General features: G+C 38.0%; 1 protein-coding gene and 1 non-coding gene across 4 annotated transcripts in view, besides 1 other annotated feature; both read right to left on the bottom strand.

The window, feature by feature from the left end:
- Window positions 1-1,992: 1,992 nt before the first annotated feature.
- UGCG (UDP-glucose ceramide glucosyltransferase) overlaps window positions 1,993-18,901 on the bottom strand; it is a 38,556-nt gene continuing 21,647 nt past the window's right edge. For 2 of the 3 annotated variants that reach the window (NM_003358.3, XM_047423844.1), the window contains exons 3-9: window positions 14,411-14,513; window positions 12,484-12,585; window positions 10,866-10,978; window positions 7,684-7,862; window positions 6,005-6,091; window positions 5,003-5,192; window positions 1,993-4,535 (exon numbers count right to left, since the gene is read on the bottom strand). In NM_003358.3, the coding sequence (NP_003349.1) occupies window positions 4,365-4,535; window positions 5,003-5,192; window positions 6,005-6,091; window positions 7,684-7,862; window positions 10,866-10,978; window positions 12,484-12,585; window positions 14,411-14,513 (945 nt within the window). In that variant the 3' untranslated portion in view covers window positions 1,993-4,364. Of the gene's footprint in view, window positions 4,536-5,002; window positions 5,193-6,004; window positions 6,092-7,683; window positions 7,863-9,570; window positions 9,890-10,865; window positions 10,979-12,483; window positions 12,586-14,410; window positions 14,514-18,901 lie in introns of those variants that run through there. The other variant, XM_017015107.2, reaches the window with a different exon arrangement.
- MIR4668 (microRNA 4668) lies at window positions 5,193-5,262 on the bottom strand. The gene has a single exon (NR_039814.1). It is a non-coding gene; the product is annotated as a microRNA 4668 (primary transcript).
- Window positions 10,565-10,724: a silencer, noted in NCBI's record as "silent region_20186". NCBI's record gives its function as "represses an Ori minimal core promoter by ATAC-STARR-seq in GM12878 lymphoblastoid cells {active_cell/tissue: GM12878}" and the evidence as "EXISTENCE:reporter gene assay evidence [ECO:0000049][PMID:35858748]".

The following is an 18,901-nucleotide window of genomic DNA, read 5'->3' as shown; positions in this document are numbered from 1 at the left end:
TGCTTAAATTAGATAATTACAAGTCCATGCTATTAGCATGGATGTCTTAATGATGATTAGTCTAAACAGCACAACCACATGAAACCATTCCAGACACCCACAGTCTCTGCCAATTTCTCTCGGAACTGAGGAGGGGCCATGTGAAAGGCTTAGCACATTTTGGTTCTTAGGAAACTAGCTGCTTAGGGATCTCTTAAAGATATGTATTTTTGTTTTTAGAAAATACTAGGATAGTGATTTTAAACTTTTTTCTAGGTATCAATATTTTTAAAGCAAATTACCCAACTAAACACATATCCTTGCAGCTCTGCAGAGACAGGTACTCACCATTTTGCGGTTTGCTTTCTTTTCACCGAAATGAACTTGATATGGTCGTAAACTATAACTTGAAATGAATAAATAAATAACTCAAGCACTAGATCCTGATAAACTTCAGAAGGAAAGGTCTGAACTATTTCCATTCTCATGAACACAGTCTTGTGGTATGCATCAATCTTATCAATCATGTATGTAAAGCATTTCACTTTAAATGAGCTTTATAGTAATTTACATTCTTGTTCTACAGGTTTGAATCTGGTTCTCTAGAACAATTTTTGAGTTAGGATACAGATGGTTATTAAAACTGTGATATTTTTCCCCCTTAAGGTCTAGGTAAATTTTCAAGCCAGTGTAAGCATAAATTTAAATGTGGTCCAGCGGAGAAATATACCACACTGGGACCAGATAGAGGGGCTACTCCCAGCTCTGCCACCAGCACCATGCCTACCTAACCCTATGATCACAGCTCTCACCGTGGGTGTCTCAGCTTCTTCATTCTAAAATAAGGGTGAGGGATCCTCAAGATCCACCTAGCTATGAAATTCTAAGACATACTCAACTTTGTGTTGATCATTTCTTAAACTGTAGGGTTAGAAGTACACAAATGAGAAGGAATGTTTGTTTACTGGGCCAGATCCCTTTTAGACTGTGTCTTACGGCTCCGATAACAGAATACCATAGACTGGGTGGGTTATAAACAACAAAACTTTCTCAGTTTTGGAGGCTGGAATGTTTAAGATCAAGGCCCTGGCAGATTTAGTGGCTAGTAAAAGCTGACTTTCTGGTTCATAGCTGGTCACCTTTTTGCCGTATCCTCACATGGCGGAAGAGGCAAGAAAGCTCTCTGGGGTTTCCTTTATAAGCATCAATCCCATCCTGACGGCTCTGATCACCTACCAAAGGCCTCACCTTGAAAGACCCTCCTCACATTGGGCATTAGGTTTCAACACAGGAACTACGGAGAGACAAAAATATCAGCTGAGAGCGGATTCTTTCTACCCCGGATTTGTTCTCCAGTTAAGAACATTCTTTTCTCATGGGATGGTGGTAAAACAGGCCTGTAAAGGCTTCCAGCTTGGGAGGGACCTGGCCTTGGAAAGTATGTAAGGTGCATCTCCCATCTGGGTCTCAAGTAATAATGCCACTCCATTCCTTCCTTTGGATTTACATTTTCTAGCCATTAGAGTGGTAAGATCTAAAAGGCTGAGTTCAAGCTGTGAGCCCGGGGGGAGAGGGGCCCAAAGGACCACTGGCTCTTTTCTAAAGGTCATTACGAGCCAGTCATTCTCACAGTAGAATCACGGGTAGAAGAGCTCAGGCCTCACCCAAAATAATTACACCAAAATCTATGTGGGCAGGGCCCAGGGTGTGTGTGTGTGTTGTGTACAGGGCCCAGGGTGTGTGTGTGTGTTGTGTACAGGGCCCAGGGTGTGTGTTGTGTATTTTTTTTTTTTTTTACAAGTTCTCCAGGTGATTTTAACAGGCAACCAATGTAGAAAAGCCATACTTAAGTCACAGGACTGCCTATGTCCTTATTTATTTTACCTATGGCTCAGGTAAAAGGAAGATTTCAAAAGGAATACTTGACAGAACTCTTCTAATAATTCTGATGTGAATGGTGGAACATGCTACTTATAAAAATACAGAAGAACAAAAAATACACTATTGCTAACGTTTTGATTGTATTCAAATTTTTATTTTTTGAACAAAAATTTAAGACAATGATTTTAAATAATAAAACATGGTATATATTCTAGACACTGGTTTTTTTTAAAGATTTATTAAATTTAGACTCCTATAGTTCTGTTGTGATGCTTTCTTCAACATTTATATTATTTCTTACCATTTTATCATCACTCCAAGCTTGCTAAACAAAGAATCTCTCTGTTAAGTGAAGTTTTACATTAAGGAAATACTCCACTAGCACACTGAACAAACCTACAGAACTGTCCTAGTTTATATTTACAAAACACAAGAAGTCTGTCCAGCCATTTTGGTTTTGTTGTTACACTGTCCATACTGAGATCAGCAGAGAGCTAAGTAATACACAAGATTACGCTTCGGCAGTGCAAAGGATGGCATCAACCAAACTTCATTAAACAGACCAACAAGTACAAACATGGTGAGCAAAGTTCAACTCAGGTAATAGTGATTAAAAACAAAACATGTAGTGGGTCACAACCAGACTGGTTTTCACTGTGCAACTTTCCTCAGGGAATAATACCCATTCACAGAAAGAAAGGAATATGCATCCAAGCCTTTGTTCATAAAGAAAATGCCCTTCAAACAAATTCATCATAAGGCTAAAAAAAAAAAAAAAGAAAGAAAAAAGGATGAAGCAGTTTGGCCCAGAGAAAAGCTTAAATATAATGTGTATACATACTTATAGATATGTTGCCATTTAAACCATGGATATAGACATTTGACAATTAAATGAATTGGCTCAGTAAAGTGAAAAAGTGTTTTCTATAAATATGTAGTTATTGCTGATATGCTACACATTATGCTTTGACATGGAGACTGTAGTAACTCAGAATTTAAAGCTGCCATATTGCCAGTGTTAGCCCTGCAGTAGGCATTCCTGTGGACAACATGCCATCCAATCCTGAAGAAAAAGCAAAACACCACTACTTAACAAAGAAAAGGCTTATGCACTGTCCCTTACATTTTTGTTTTTTTTTTTTAAAAAAACAAAACAAAACAGAATCAAGTCCAGTTCACCACAAGTTAAGCACAACCTGGCGAGCAAGTTTAGCGGCATGATGGGGAGAAAACAGTGAGGTACAGCATGCATTTACAACCAGCGCTGATCTAGTCTATTTTGTCATATAAACTTGAATACAAAAATCCAATTTAAATAAGACTAGACTTACTATAATAGTAAACAAACAAAAACAAAAAACAAAAAAAAAAAACACACACAGTAGACTTAGTTTGATACTGATTAATTTTAAGAGTAAACTCATCCTGTCCCCTCTTAATACTCTACTGCAATTTATTGATGGCTAGAATATTTACTGACTTAAAAAAGGTATTAAATACTTGTATCATGAAATTACATTCTTATTAACAATAAGACATACTGTGTAAGAAAATAGCTCATGTGTGAAATGTGTCTGAAATGCATTTTTTCCTTACAACTATCAAAACATCCACTCACACTAAAATGAAACCACTCCCAACCCCCCCTGAAAAAATGTTAAGGGAAGACGGGGTGGGCTGGGGGAGGAGCAAGGAAGGAAAAGATTTAGCTATACTAATTACAGCACAGTGATTAACAATGGTTCAAGACAGAACCAACAAGAGTTGGTCAAAAAGATGCCTTCAATACATGGCTACAATTAAAAACCAAACTCAGCCGCTTTTGGTTCATTGCAGTGAGACCAAAAAAATTATCTCTCACAGATTCATATAAATACTAGACTCCAGCTCTTATATCATTTTTTTTTAAGTTTTTCTGTTTGTTTCTGCAAGGCCTAGCTATCTTATTACAATTTATATTTGCTCTGCAACAACTACAAGAGGTAGGCATAAAGCATGAAAAAGTTTCTCAGTTAGTACCTCGCCATGTGTTGTTCACTGCACAAAACCATTCACTTTGGACATGAATAGTCATTCCTTCTATTATCTTCTAAACTCTAAAGCAAAGCTGCTGCCACCCGTAAATGTTCTAAAAGAGTGTACTCACAAGTAAGAAACTTTCTCTACTGAAGGATACTGTCACAGAGTTTGTTGCAGAGCATCTATATATATATTTATTTATTTATTTTAAAAAAATAAACAACAATGATGAACGAACCCAGGTTCCTAGAACCAATTCTCTTGATTCTCTACTTCCACAAAATAAAGTGTATCATTTGGCCAAGACTACAGATGTGTTTTTTTTTTTTTTCACAGATGCAAGTGCCATGCAAAAATAAATTAAAGAACAGATACCAAAACATACATGTGATAAAACTACAGAAGGTAGATTTTTAAAAGCATTTATATAAACATAATTTATAATACTTCTCTTTTTTCCTTTATATACAGTCACAAAGCTGTAGTTATACATCTAGGATTTCCTCTGCTGTACCCCCACAGCGTAATCTGTAGCGACCAGTTCTCCAGCTTATAGTTGGGTCCCATAATGCAGACAAAAAAATGTATATTGTCATGGATTCGCGGATGAACCAGGCGACTGCATAATCAAGTTTTGAAAAACACAGTGTGCCACCCTAGGAATGGAAAAAAAAATTTTTTAATTTCACTCACTGTCAAACTAAAGACAAGGTTAAAAAATTAAATTCTTGGATTTCACTTTTCTAAGTATACTATGTAAAATCAAGTCTGCTTCCTTATGTAATTTAACTGCCATGTTATACCGTTCAAGAAAATGCTAATTGTTAATGAAGCATTAAAATAACTGCTATCTTAATGTCTTATTAGTTTCAATACTCACTGATTTAATTAACTTCATGTTTTTGGAAACTTAATAAAAGCGATTATATAACCAATAGAAAGTTGCAAATCGACTTAAGTTTTGCATCAACATTCCACTAGAGAAAGTCATGTTCAAACCCGAGACTAACCTACAATGGGAAGCTGAAGAATGGCTCAGATACATTTCCTTCAACTTTTTCTAAATTGAAATAGTTCTAGTTCCACCAAGGGACTGCCAACCTTTTCATGCCTATCCACATACCTGGACACCCCTGAGTTGAATGTAGTCAAATATAAACCATGCCAGGCAATGACACATGAAAAATACCATAATATCCCATCTGAACACATGGTGGGCTGCCCATCCAATAATTAAACTGGCAACAAAGCATTCTGAAATTGGCTCACAAATTATTGTAGCAGGAAGCATGTTAATTCGTAGTTTGGTCCACCTGGAAAAACAAAAAGGATTTTCTTTAAAACAATATCCTGGCTACAAGACAAATCCTTTTTTTTTTCCCTCAAATAATCAATTTTTTTACCCTGTGATAGAAAGACCATTCTCTTTAAACTTTTTTTGTTTTGTTTTTTTTTTTTTACTTGAGACGGGGTTCTGCTCTGTCACCCAGGCTGGAGTGCAGTGGCACTCACTGTAGCTTCAATCTCCCAGGCTCAAGCGATCTTCCCACCTCATCCCACCAAGTAGCTGGGACCACAGGTGTACACGCCACCACACCTGGCTAATTTTTGCATTTTTTGTAGAGACAGGGTTTCACCATTTTGCCCAGGCTGGTCTCAAACTCCTGGGCTCAAGCAGTCCTCTCGCCTTGGCCTCCCAAAGCGCTGGGATTACAGGTGTGAGCCACCACACACAACCTAAAAATTTTTTTTAATGACTCTCTTTTCTATTTTTGTCTAGGATGTCAAAGAAAAATGTCTTTAAATTCATTTGTATGGCCTACGCTCTGATGAATACAGATAATAAAATTTAATCAGCACAGAAAGTTAGAAAATAAAGATCAGCATATTAAAAAATTCAGTCTCAACATTTCTCTAATGAGTGCTTTCAGTGTTATACAGCAAATAAAATACATTTAGACATTAAATTTATCTTAAACACAGACGTTAAACTCTATTTTCTGCAACTAAACAAAAATCTTCAACCTTTAGGTACATTCATTTAACTACATTAAACCTGTAAAAATTACCACCCCCCTCCCCACTTTCCTTTTAACGAAGTATAAAAAGAAAACAGTTGATTTACCTGATCATTCTGGATTGAAACTGAGAAATTGAATATGAGCCAGAGTTTTGCATTGCAACTTGAGTGGACATTGCAAACCTCCAACCTCTGAAAATTAAGATAATTAGAAAATAAGTTATGATGATGAACACATGCAAGCGTAACTGGTTATGCATTCAGTAATCATTATAAAGACCAGGCAACTGCCGGTATTCAGGGTGAGCCCAGCTTTCATGATTAGCACATGACTTAAGGTCTACCATACGTATGGATGTTTTAGCAATTATGCTGGCCCGTGACAGCACCATCTAAGAACTAGAAGAAACTGTACCCACCTTACTTTACAATTTAAGAAACTTAAAATGCAGTCATTTTGAAAAAAAATGGAGAGGGCTCCATATTTAATAGATTAGTCTCTGATGACTACTAACCAAACAACAAGACATGTAAACAGAAAGTGGCATTATGGATCTCATGGGAGACACTAGGAAACCATGAACCACATGAACACAATCATGACAGAATTTGTATTTAAAACACACTTCAGTTTTTAAAAAATTTAAAAGAATTCTCACACAAGGCAGTGATCTCCTTTAAAAACAAGTATTTTAGGCTGGATGCAGTGGCTCATGCCTGTAATCCCAGCACTTTGGGAGGCTGAGGCGGGCGGATCACGAGGTCAGGAGTTCAAGACTAGCCTGGCCAACATGGTGAAACCCCGCCTCTACTAACATACAAAAAAAAGTAGCTGAGTGTGGCGGCGGGTGCCTATAATCCCAGCTACTTGGGAGGCTGAGGCAGGAGAATCGTTTGAACCCAGGAGGCGGAGACTGCAGTGAGCCGAGATTGCGCCACTGCACTCCAGCCTGGATGTCAGGGCGAGACTGTCTCAAAAAAAAAAAAAAAAACCAAAACAAAACAAGTATTTTGTGATAGAGAAATGCTAAGTCAGTCATATGAATCTTTCAGTGGCTTCTTAGCAAAGTATCATATAATTCACTGACAAATTTCAAATTTTGAAATGATAGTCTTTAAATTTTCACCTACTAGTTTATGACTGCACTGATAGTTTTAATTCTTCTAAAACACAGAAATTTGTATCTATATAGTAAAAATTCTAAACACAGAGAAACTTACTTTTAATCGCTTTAAAACACATTAATTTGAAAAATGTAGAGGAATCAGAACATTTACCTTCTTCATTAGTACATATCTACAATTCTATAATTAGAATATGAATTACTCTATAAAATTATTGATCTGCTGGGTGTGGTGGCTCATACCTGTAATCCCAGCACTTTAGGAGGCCGAGGTGGGCAGATCACTTGAGTTCAGGAGTTCAAGACCAGCCTGGCCAACATGAAGAAACCCCATCTCTACTAAAAATACAAAAATTAGTGTGCATGGTGGTACATGCCTGTAGTCCCAGGTGCTCTGGTGGCTGAGGCATGAGAATCACCTGAACCCGGGAGGCAGAGGCTACAGTGAGCCAAGATCGCGCCACTGCACTCCAGCCTAGGTGACAGAGCAAGACTCTGTCTCAAAAACAAACAAAATAATAAAATTATTGACCTATTCTGTACTTACTAGCAAAAAAAATAAAATTAAATTAAAAAGCCCTAATCTATAGGTTGAACAAAAAGAATAAACCAACAGAAGTTAGGTAATAAAAATACTATGGCTTCATTTAGTTGTCTTACCGGTCAGCTATCGCTTTGGCCATAAAGTAATCTTCGGCAATGTACTGAGCAAAAGCTATAAGTCCTCCTGCTTGATCCAACACATCTTTTCTCATTAAACAAGACATTCCTGTCACACATTTGAAACCAGTTACATTGGCAGAGATATAGTATCTTGGATGTGAAGTTCCAAAATATACCTGCCCAAAAAACCACAAACGTGTATGATTAGAATTTCATGTTAAAAGCATGGTGTTCACGAACTGTTTTTCCCAATGGTTTTTTTATAAGTATGATTGAGTGAATATCTTATTATTCTTACGTAGACTACCTGAATAAAAAGTGGTAGACAATATTGCTTTCATAGAGCAAGCACAGTTAGTAAGCTAAAAATGCATCCAAATAAAACTTAATTTAGATACAAAATAAGGTAAAAATATCACTCATTGATATATAAAATATTAACAAATATTCAATGTATCTTGTTTTTAGGGTGTTCATGTAAATATACACACACATCTACTTTACTGGGATCAATATACATATTTGTATGTTACGTATATGTGTGTATATATACATGCATGCATACACACACCACCCATAGGTATATCAACCTTCGGGACAATCCTATTTTTTTGGGGGGTGGGGGGTGGGGAGGGGACACAATCCTATTTCTTAATTCCTTTTCTTGCATCCTTTTGTAGCTAGCTGCTCCCTCTCCCTTAGTCACTAAGATTCTTCCCAATTTCTCCATTTTTTTCAATGTATTTTTCATAACGGGGATACTAAAATTCTCTCATCCGCTACTGCCATTTCTCTGCATATACTCTGAAGTCATAAGATATATACGCTGATAAATCAATGGTAGAAAAGGACTGTTATTACCCTACTTAGTAGACATAAAATCCTATTTATTATTTACACCTCAGATATGTTGCCTTTTCTAATTAGCCTGAAATAAAGAGTAGTCATCTTTCTTAGGAGTTACACACACAGTGCAGAGCAAGAGAATTCTAAGGGGCAATTATGATTATGATTCTTGCTACCTACCCTGAACCCAGACTCCAGTGAAGCCCTAGTGTTTGTGGGACTGAACTGAACCTGACTTCTAAGAACAGAGGCACATATCTTAATTCCTTAGTAGTTATTGAGGTCTTAGGAATGAGATGTTAGTCACTGAGCTGAATGTGCTCTTTACAGTTGAGAATGATTAATTCTAAGTATGGCAGAGTGACTTCCAGAGATTAAACCTACACTAAGGCAATGGGTGTATTCTGGGAGATGTTTATTGACATACACATCACAGAGATGTTATTGACATCTGTATCAATTTGGATATTTCTAAGACAAAAATACAATTTGGTATACTAGAACACATTGTATTTTATTTTAAAGTGGCTACTCAGTTTCTTTTTCTAAACAAAAATTCTGGTATTTAAGACTAACAATTTCTTGCAGTAGGACAAATATATTTACAGCCAATATTAAGAAAGAGCTCATGGTTCAAACTGCCAAAGGCCAGATGCAAGTTCCCACAATGTACCTTTACCCCTTCAGATATGTGGCAATCATAAGACTGCAATTCAAAAGAATATAAATGCAGATATGCTTAAGAGCAAGTTGACATATTTAAAGACTGAAATCACATATCTGTCCTTATAACATTACAACAAATTTTTCCTCCCAAATGTTTAACAGTACAGGAATGATTAACTCAAGCATAGGACACACATACGATGGCCTATGATACAGCCAATAAAAATTACTTTTATGAAAAGCTATTAATGATATGGGAAAAGCTTACAAAGTCACAAAAATAAGATACAGATTATTTTTAGAATACTATCTCAACAATGTTTTCTAAAGGGCCCAGAAGGGGGTGGTGGGGGAAATAAAGACTCCAAAGTGTCCAAATGATACAATGTTTATTTTTAAAACCAGAAACTTCCTGCCGGGCGTGGTGGCTCACGCCTGTAATCCCAGCACTTTGGGAGGCAGAGGAGGGTGGATCACGAGGTCAGGAGATCGAGACCATCCTGGCTAACACGGTGAAAACCTGTCTCTATCAAAAATACAAAAAATTAGCCAGGCATGGTGGCGGGCACCTGTAGTCCCAGCTACTCAGGAGGCTGAGGCAGGAGAATGGCGTGAACCCGGGAGGCGGAGCTTGCAGTGAGCCGAGATCGCGCCACTGCACTCCAGCCTGGGCGACAGAGCGAGACTCCATCTAAAAAAAAAACAAAACAAAAAAAACAAAAAAACCCCATAAACTTCCTGTAATTGTTAGGGTTCTAGGTTGTTGGTTTTTGTTTTTTTGCATCTTATACTTTTCCATTATTTATAGTTTCCTATGGATGTTACTATTTCTAAGTTGGAGAAAAAATAAAATGAAAACATAAGTTTCTCAGGTAATTATTAGAAATATGTTTTAAAAGGACATCAAATAGGTTTTATAAGGACTTGTATGAATACATTTTCTTTTGTGTATATTTGAAATACTTTGTGGTATTTTAAAAAGGTTCTTTTGAGGGCTGGGCGCAGTGGCTCATGCCCGTAATCCCAGCACTTTGGGAGGCTGAGGCAGGCAGATCACTTGAGGTCAGGAGTTTGAGGCCGGCCTGGCCAACACGGTGAAACCCCATTTCTACTAAAAATACAAAAGTTAGCCAGGTGTGGTAGCACACCTGAAATCCCAGCTACTTGGGAGGCTGAGGCAGAAGAATCGTTTGAACCTGGGAAGTGGAGGTTGCAGTGAGCCGAGATCGTGCCACTGCACTCCAGCCTGGGCAACAGAGCAAGGCTCTGTCGCAAAAAAAAAAAAAAAAAAAAAAAAAAAAAGGCTGGGGGGAGGGGGCCAGCGGTTCTTTTCAGATCGAATGTTTGAAAGAACAATATAAAGAACTGAACTCTAGAACAGGAAGTGAATACTACAAGGCAAGAGGTTAGACTGTGTTCAGCTGGCAATAAGACCGCAGGCATTTCCTGCGCACAGCTGTTCACTGCCAGGGTACAGTCAGGGTCCCAAGAATTTCCTCACTAATGAAAACAGCTGCTCTCAACTCAGGGCTTCTAGAACACAGCAGGTTCCCAAATGGACTTAATACAGTTAACTTGAGATACCTAATTCCAGCTCCCATAGTCTCAAGCTTCTGGGAAATGAGGGGTCTGATACTATGAACATGATTTATAACCACCATACTCACCTGCTCTAAGGTGGCAGCAAAGCCCTGTCTGTCTGCTACGTAAGGCAGCCCGTGAACCAAGCCTACTTTTTCTGTCATTTGATTCACCATGTCAGTAAGCGTATCTGGAATTACTACAATTTAAAAAAAAGGCAGAGAGGGGGAGAAAAGAAAATTTGTTTTTAGTAGAATGCCCATTAATATAAAATATATTTTGTGAATTGTTATTACATTCTTAATAAAATACATTATTTTAAACATATGGATCTAATAAAATGAATCTCAACCACCTTTCTGAGGAGAATACAAAATTTCAAAAGGGCCTAATTCTCGAAAGCTAATTTATACATTTTTTAGCCCAGTATATACCTACTATGTACCAGAGGCAGAATATACTTTGAAAAAGTTACCCCCTGTTGGAACTTCTAATTTGGAATAAGGACAATCTGTCCTAGTGGAAAAGGCTCAGGAGCAGAGGCTAAAGGACCTCAGTTCTCGTGCTGGCTTCTCTACTCTCCAACCATAGGAAATGAGACTATTTTCTCTGTGAGTATCAGATTTCCACACAGGAATGGAACGTGATTATATTGAACAGAGATCTGTACACTGAAAAACATATGATAGTAAATAATTTAAGATAGCAAATATGAAGAATGAACATCATCTCTGACCAGCTGATAGATCTGTAATGGTCTTGATTAACTCATAGGAGTGCAACATTTATGTTCATTTTCTAATTTGCATTTTAAGCTAATAAAAAATTTAAATTATTGCCCAATCTTTAGCAAACATCTCATATCATTTTTACATGACCTTATTTTTCATTTCCTCCAAGTCTTTAAGAACTAAATCTACCGTATAAAGAAAAGTTGTATTTGGACCTTAAATACTCATTCTAGGTCAGTGCTTCTCAACTGGGGGCAATTCTGCCCCACAGGGGACATCCGGCAACATCTGAAGATATTTTTGCTTTTACTACTGAGAAGGGGGTACTACTGGCATCTCATGGTAGAGACCAGGCATGCTGCTAAACATCCTACAAGACAGCTCCCACAACAAAGCCTAAAATGTGAACAGTATTGGGGTTGAGAAGCTTAAGGCAATTAGAATATAAGAAAATATTATAGAACACTGAAACTATTATGAGTGTTCGAAAATGCAAGTTATAATTTCAGTATATGAAAGGCTTCTTGCTAAAATCATTTAAGTAAAAAGTCATGTGTATAGTCCGATAAGTGTATGTGTTTTAGTAAAATATGCACCTATTAATTTCTGTCCCTTTGTGAGACGGTGTATTACGCAAGCCGAAACACATTAAAGATAAGTGTCAGGCAAACAAGGGAAAAGTTACACCCATGGGAAAGCTTGCAGATTATATAATGAACCACAACCATTTTTAATTTAATGGTTGAAATTTTCTCTTCAAAATGAAAACATTTTAATACATGTAACATTCTAGTTTAGGATTAAAAAAATCAAAATCTTAGTAAGCATAACTGGACATATTACCATGAAATGATGATGAAATAAATTACTCTTTTAGGCAAATAAAAAGAACTCATGAATGTATCTGAGATTGCTTTTAGCATTTTATCTTCAAATTAATAGTTTTATAAAATAAATAAGAAAAAAACCTCACCTCTTATTCCACTATCACAAATCCATATAAGATCATACTTTGCAACTTCATATCCTGGCATTAAATTATTAATTTTAGGATTAATGCCAACTTTTTTGCCACCTAAAAATGTAAAGGTACAGTAGTAAAAGATTTATGCAACATTAAAAATATTTTATAGTATAAAGATACATGATAGAAATGAGAATACTTGCATATTTAATAATTAAACATACTTTCATATTATTTAACATTCTCTATTATTCATAATAATATATTTAGGAAAAAACTGTCCATTCTCAAAAGGAAAACTGTATCATTTATCTTTGAAAATTCACTGTTTCACTTTTTCTAATTCTTAAGTCCTTGCCTTAGTAGTTAAGTATGAGTCAATATTTAATGGCAATTGTACAACATGGCAACTATAGGTAACAACAATGTATGGTATACTTGAAAATGACTAAGAGTAGATTTCTCACCACAAATAAAGTATAAGTACATGAGAAAGTATATAACAACATGTTGTTTACTTGAAAACTGCTAAGAGAGATTTCCCACCATGAATAAATATGTGTGGTAATGCATATGTTAATTAACTTAATTTAGCTATTCCACAATGTGTACATATATATATATTTCAAAACATCGTGCTGTACACCAAAAATATATACAAATTTTATTTGTCAATTTAAAAAATAATCCTAAGGGAAAAAGCTACAGGCGTTATTTTGAAGCTATAATTAAAACAGTATAAATTCATAAATACAGTAAGATTATATTTAATAAAGGTTTATTAAATGTAAACACACATGGCCAGGCACCATGGGCTCACGCCTGTAATCCCAGCACTTTGGGAGGTCGAGGGGGGTGGATCACCTGAGGTCAGGACTTCGAGACCAGTATGACATGGCGAAACCCCATCTCTATTAAAAATACAAAAAAATTAGCTGAGCGTGGTGGTGCCTGACTGTAATCCCAGCTACTGGGGAGGCTATAATCCCAGCACTTTGGGAGGCCGAGGCAGGTGGATCACCTGAGGTCAGCAGTTCGAGACCAGCCTGACGTGGTGAAACCCTGTCTCTGCTAAAAATACAAAAAAATTAGCTGGGCGTGGTGATGCACGCCTGTGATCCCAGCTGCTCAGGAGGCTGAAGCAGGAGAATTGCTTGAACCCAGGTGGAAGGGGTTGCACTGAGCTGAAATTGTGCCATTGCACTCCAGCCCGGGTGATAAGAGCAAAAAATTCGTATCAAAGAAAAAAAAAACCAAAAAAACCCCATAAATATATGACAGTAAATAATTTAAGATAGCACATGTGAAGAATGAGCATCTCTGACCATGAGCTGATAGATTTGTAATGGTCCTGATTAATTCGTAGGCATGCTACACTTATATTAATTTTCAAATTTGCATTTTAAGCTAATAAAAAATTTAAATCATTGCCCGATCTTCAAATAGCAAAGATCTGATATCATTTTATACGACTTACTGGTTTTTTAGAGAGACCACATCAGCTCTATGTTAAAAAAAAAAAAACACTAATGGCAAACACACCTCTACAAGTCTTTCAAATAAGCCTGTAGGCTTTTGGAAAAATACCCTTCTTGTAATGTAATAAAAGTGAATTCTATCATTCACTCCAATTATAGTCAGTAAGATACAGAAAAGGCCACACATTTAAAATATTGAAGAAACAAAAAATAACAGACCCTCATGTCTGATTAATGGGAAAAATATTATTTTGTGTGTGATTTTGTTCATCTCAGATATGAAAAAAAAAAACCTTTGTTTTTATAACTTTTCTCAAAAGGACGTAAACACCTCTCAGTACTCCAACAAACATGTTTAAAACAAACATGGCTAACACCTTAATCTTCAGTTCAATGCAGAGATTACTGATACTTAATACTATCAATGGAAAATGGTTACTACAGAATTTGTTACTTACCTATAAACAATCTAGCATCAACATTTGGATATTTTCCAAGAAGCTTCTTACATACATCAATGGCTGGATCATCATGATCTTGTACACAAAGGAGCACTTCATACTAGTCAAAAAGCATTGTATGTAAATTAAATTCTTTAAAAAAATAAGCACTTACTAGCATGTATTGATTGAACAAAAAGCACAGGAAAAAACAAGCAACTGTATTATGCAAAGTTTTAAAAGAGAGCATTCACAATGGATGCAAACACTTATGATAACAAGTGTTGCTTTAATGGAGTGAAGCTTCTAATTAGGAGCCTATCTGCAAGCAGAATAAATAAGGAAGAGACTGGCAGTGCCCACAACTGCAGTCTTGCCATTCCCAGATAGGAATCTCCTAGTTAATCTCCATTAACTGGATCTCAAGCTTGTCCATGGCCATCACTACTGAAGATTTACTAACTGCTCACAGGGTGCCTAGCAGAGTAAAAAGTGACATCAAAAGGAAGCAAAATAAACACAACCTCTCTCTAGAAGCTTTGTCTCTATACTTAATATTATTTCATGAAGGTGCAACAAATTTCATATAAAATCCCATTATAATAAATTTAAAGGGCCCTTCCAAATTCATCACATGAAAAGGACAAAGTAAGATTACCCTTTTTTGTTTCATAACTTTTTGAAACAAAACAGAATTTGATTTGAATGGACATTTACGATCTTGAAATGCATGCTTAGCCTTGTAACTATGAAAATACCTACAACTTTATTTTGCCCAGTGCTATGTTTAGATTTTTAACAGTAAATTAAGAAAGGCATTTCTTAACACTTGCCCAGCTGTGACAAAATTACCCTGGGGCTGGGCACGGTGGCTCATGCCTGTAATCCCAGCACTTTGGGAGGTCAAGGTGGGAAGACTGCTAGAGCCTAGGTGCTCGAGAGGAGCCTGGGCAAAAAGGCGAGGCCCTGTCTCTACAAAAAATTTTTAAAATTAGCTGGGCATGGTGAGGCATGCCTGTGGTCCCAGCTACTTGGGAGGCTGAGGTGGGAGGATTGCTTGAGCCCAGGAGGTTGAGGCTGCAGTGAGCCGAAGACTGCGCCACTACATTTCAGCCTGGGAAACAGAGTGAGACCCTGCCTCAAAAAAAAAAAAAAAAAAAAAAAAAATCACCCTGGGGCATTTATTTTAAAAAGAGAATTGGACCCTATTTTAGACTTTTGAGTCAGAATCTCTGGGGTGATCTGACATGCAGCCAGATTTATAAAATCCTGAACTGAACCCCTAAATTTCCATTAACAACCCAACTTTTTTTTTTTTTTTGAGACAGAGTCTCACTGTCACCCAGGTTGGAGTGCAGTGGCATGATCTCAGCTCACTGCAACCTCCGCCTCCCAGGTTCAATCGATTCGCCTGCCTCAGCCTCCCAAACAGGAGTAGCTGGGACTACAGATGCCCGCCACCATGTCTGGCTAATTTTTGTATTTTTAGTAGAGACGGAGTTTCATTGGCCGGGCTGGTCTCAAACTCGTGACCTTGGGATCTGCTTGCCTCTGCCTCCCAAAGTGCTGGGATTACAGGCGTGAGCCACCATGCTCAGTCAACAACTAAATTTTTTAAGTATTTGTCCTTAACATACAAAAATACTACTCTATTATTTGTAGGATATGTATTCTAAGTAGTGATTTTTTTCCCCAGAAGTGGTAATAAATTCATGTTGACTCAATGAAGAAATTTCCTACCAAATCTTTTCTAAAACTGGTTGAACAGCCAGGCACGGTGGCTCATGCCTGTAATCCCAGCACCTCAGGAAGCCAAGGCTGGTGGATCACTTCAGGTCAAGTTTTTGAGACCAGCCTGGGAAACATGGTGAAACCCTGTTTCTCCTAAAAATACGAAAAATTAGCCAAGTGTAGTGGCACGCGCCTATAATCCCAGCTACTTGGGAGGCTGAGGCAGGAGAATCACTTGAACCCAGGAGGCGGAGACTGAAGTGAGCCCAGATCACGCCACTGCACTCCAGCCTGGGCGACAGAGCGAGACTCCATCTCAAAAAAAAAACAAAACGACGACAACATAAAACTGGTCGAACATTTTTAAGCACAGAAGGGAGGTTAATTATGTCCATGAAAACATAACAAAGCTAACTAACTCAAGAGAACGACAAAGTCTGTTATATTTACTTCCAATGATAAGCATACACAAGTAAAAAGTAGAAATAAAATGTTTATAGTGCCTGTGAGCATAATAACAATTGTTTGCCCACTACCTATAATCTCAGCAAAAACTGCCAATAAAAAAATTTGTGGGCCAGGCGTGGTGGCTCAAGCCTGTAATCCCAGCACTTTGGAGGCCAGGGCAGGTGGATCACCTGAGGTCAGGAGTTCGAGGCCAGCCTGACCAACATGGTGAAACCCCGTCTCTACTAAAAATGCAATAATTAGCAGGCATGGTGGCACACACCTGTAATCACAGCTACTTGGGAAGCTGAGGCAGGAGAATCGCCTGAACCTGGGAGGCAGAGGGAGGTCGCAGTGAGCCGAGATTGCGCCACTGTACTCCAGCCTGGGCAACAAGAGTGAAACTCCGTCTCGGGGAAAATAAAAATAAAAGAAATTTGCAGTTGATCACAAAAGAACCAAGACTAAGGTTAATGAAGAAGGTTAGCTAATAAGATTTTTTGTCAAATGAAAAACATGTTTTCTTAATAATTAAGTCGATGAGGAAAACAATGTATATTTTCCTCATACTTTCTACCTACATACTGCTGTTATTATATATTCTATCCAATATCTACCTCTAATGATGACTGACGAAAATTGCCACTCAAGAGGTACTGAAACCAACTTGACAGTTACCTGGTCTCCAGAGACCAGATAAAAATCTGAAAATGGAAAGGGCCCTACTTCTACCACCCTCCTGAGATTTCCTTAAGAGCTGACTCTAAGTCACAGAAAGTGTCAGTCAGCCTCCCATCCAGACTCTCAAAACAATATTTGGCTGAGCCACCAAAAAGGCAATGACCTTCACAATAATGATTAGAGAGGTTAAGTGACTTTTCAAACGGCAAAAGTAACAACGAGCTTTCCTACTATAGGAGGCTGCTCAGCCAGGCTTGCTCTAAAGAGTTCCTTGTTTTTCCAAACATAGCATAGTTTCTTTTTTTTTTTTTTTTTTGAGATGGAGTCTCGCTCTGTCACCCAGGCTGGAGTGCAGTGGCGCTATCTCAGCTCACTGCAAGCTTGGCCTCCAGGGTTCACGCCATTCTCCTGCCTCAGCCTCCCGAGTAGCTGGGACTACAGGCATCCGCCACCACGCCCGGCTAATTTTTTGTATTTTTCTTTAGTAGAGACGGAGTTTCACTGTGCTAGCCAGGATGGTCTCAATCTCCTGACCTCGTGATCTGCCTGCCTCGGCCTCCCAGAGTGCTGGGATTACAGGTGTGAGCCACTGTGCCCAGCCAGCATAGTATCTTTAATGGTTTTTTTTGAGACAGGGTCTTTCACTGTCACCCAGGCTGGAGTGCAGTGGCGTGATCTTGGCTCACTATAGCCTCAACTTCCCAGGCTCAAGCAATCCTCCCACCTCAGCCTCCCGAGTAGCTGGGACTATAGGTGTGCACCACCACACCTGGCTAATTTTTGTATTTTTAGTACAGACGACGAGCTGGTCTTGAATGCTTGGGCTCAAGTGATCTGCCCACCTCAGCCTTCCAAAGTACTGGTATTACAGGCATGAGCCACTATGCCCAGCCTTTAATGCTTTTTTAATGCTATTTTGTGAGTATGAGTACATATGATGAAAGGAAATGTTTATAAGTAATGCAATTCCATAAAGTACAATAAAAAACTAATCTTAGCTTTTATTTTCCCCAGCAAGAGAAAACTTTGTAAAAATATAGTACTAGAAATATACTCAATGGGAAGAAAAATGCTATACTAGTGTTAAGTAGGGAGGTTATAAGTAAGGGAGGTACAGTCTGCCTTTATTCAGATGCAAGGTTTGAAGTGTTTTTTTTTGTTTTTTTGTTTTTTGTTTTTTTTTTTTGAGACGGAGTCTCGTTCTGTCGCCCAGGCGGGAGTGCTGTGGCGCGATCTCCGCTCACTGCAAGCTCCGCCTTCCAGGTTCACGCCATTCTCCTGCCTCAGCCTCCCGAGTAGCTGGGACTACAGGCACCCGCCACTGCGCCCAGCTAATTTTTTTTTTGTATTTTTAGTAGAGACGGGGTTTCACCGTGGTCTCGATCTCCTGACCTCGTGATCCGCCCGCCTCGGCCTCCCAAAGTGCTGGGATTACAGGCGTGAGCCACCGCCCCCGGCCTTGAAGTTTTAATTTTTATTGATTACACTGCTTAAACATAATTTTTAATTAAAAACAAATACTTTCTGATTAGCCAGAGTGTAAATGAGACTCATATTCATATTATCCAAAAAAAAGTTCAGACTCAAATACATAAGATTCATTTGTTTTTGATATTGGAAATTACACCAAATTGGAGGCAGCATTCCAAG

Source organism: Homo sapiens, chromosome 9, assembly GCF_000001405.40.
Source record: "Homo sapiens chromosome 9, GRCh38.p14 Primary Assembly".
Classification (NCBI taxonomy): domain Eukaryota; kingdom Metazoa; phylum Chordata; class Mammalia; order Primates; family Hominidae; genus Homo; species Homo sapiens.
The sequence above is the reverse complement of the archived record's forward strand: the minus strand, read 5'-3'. Positions and strand labels throughout refer to the sequence as shown.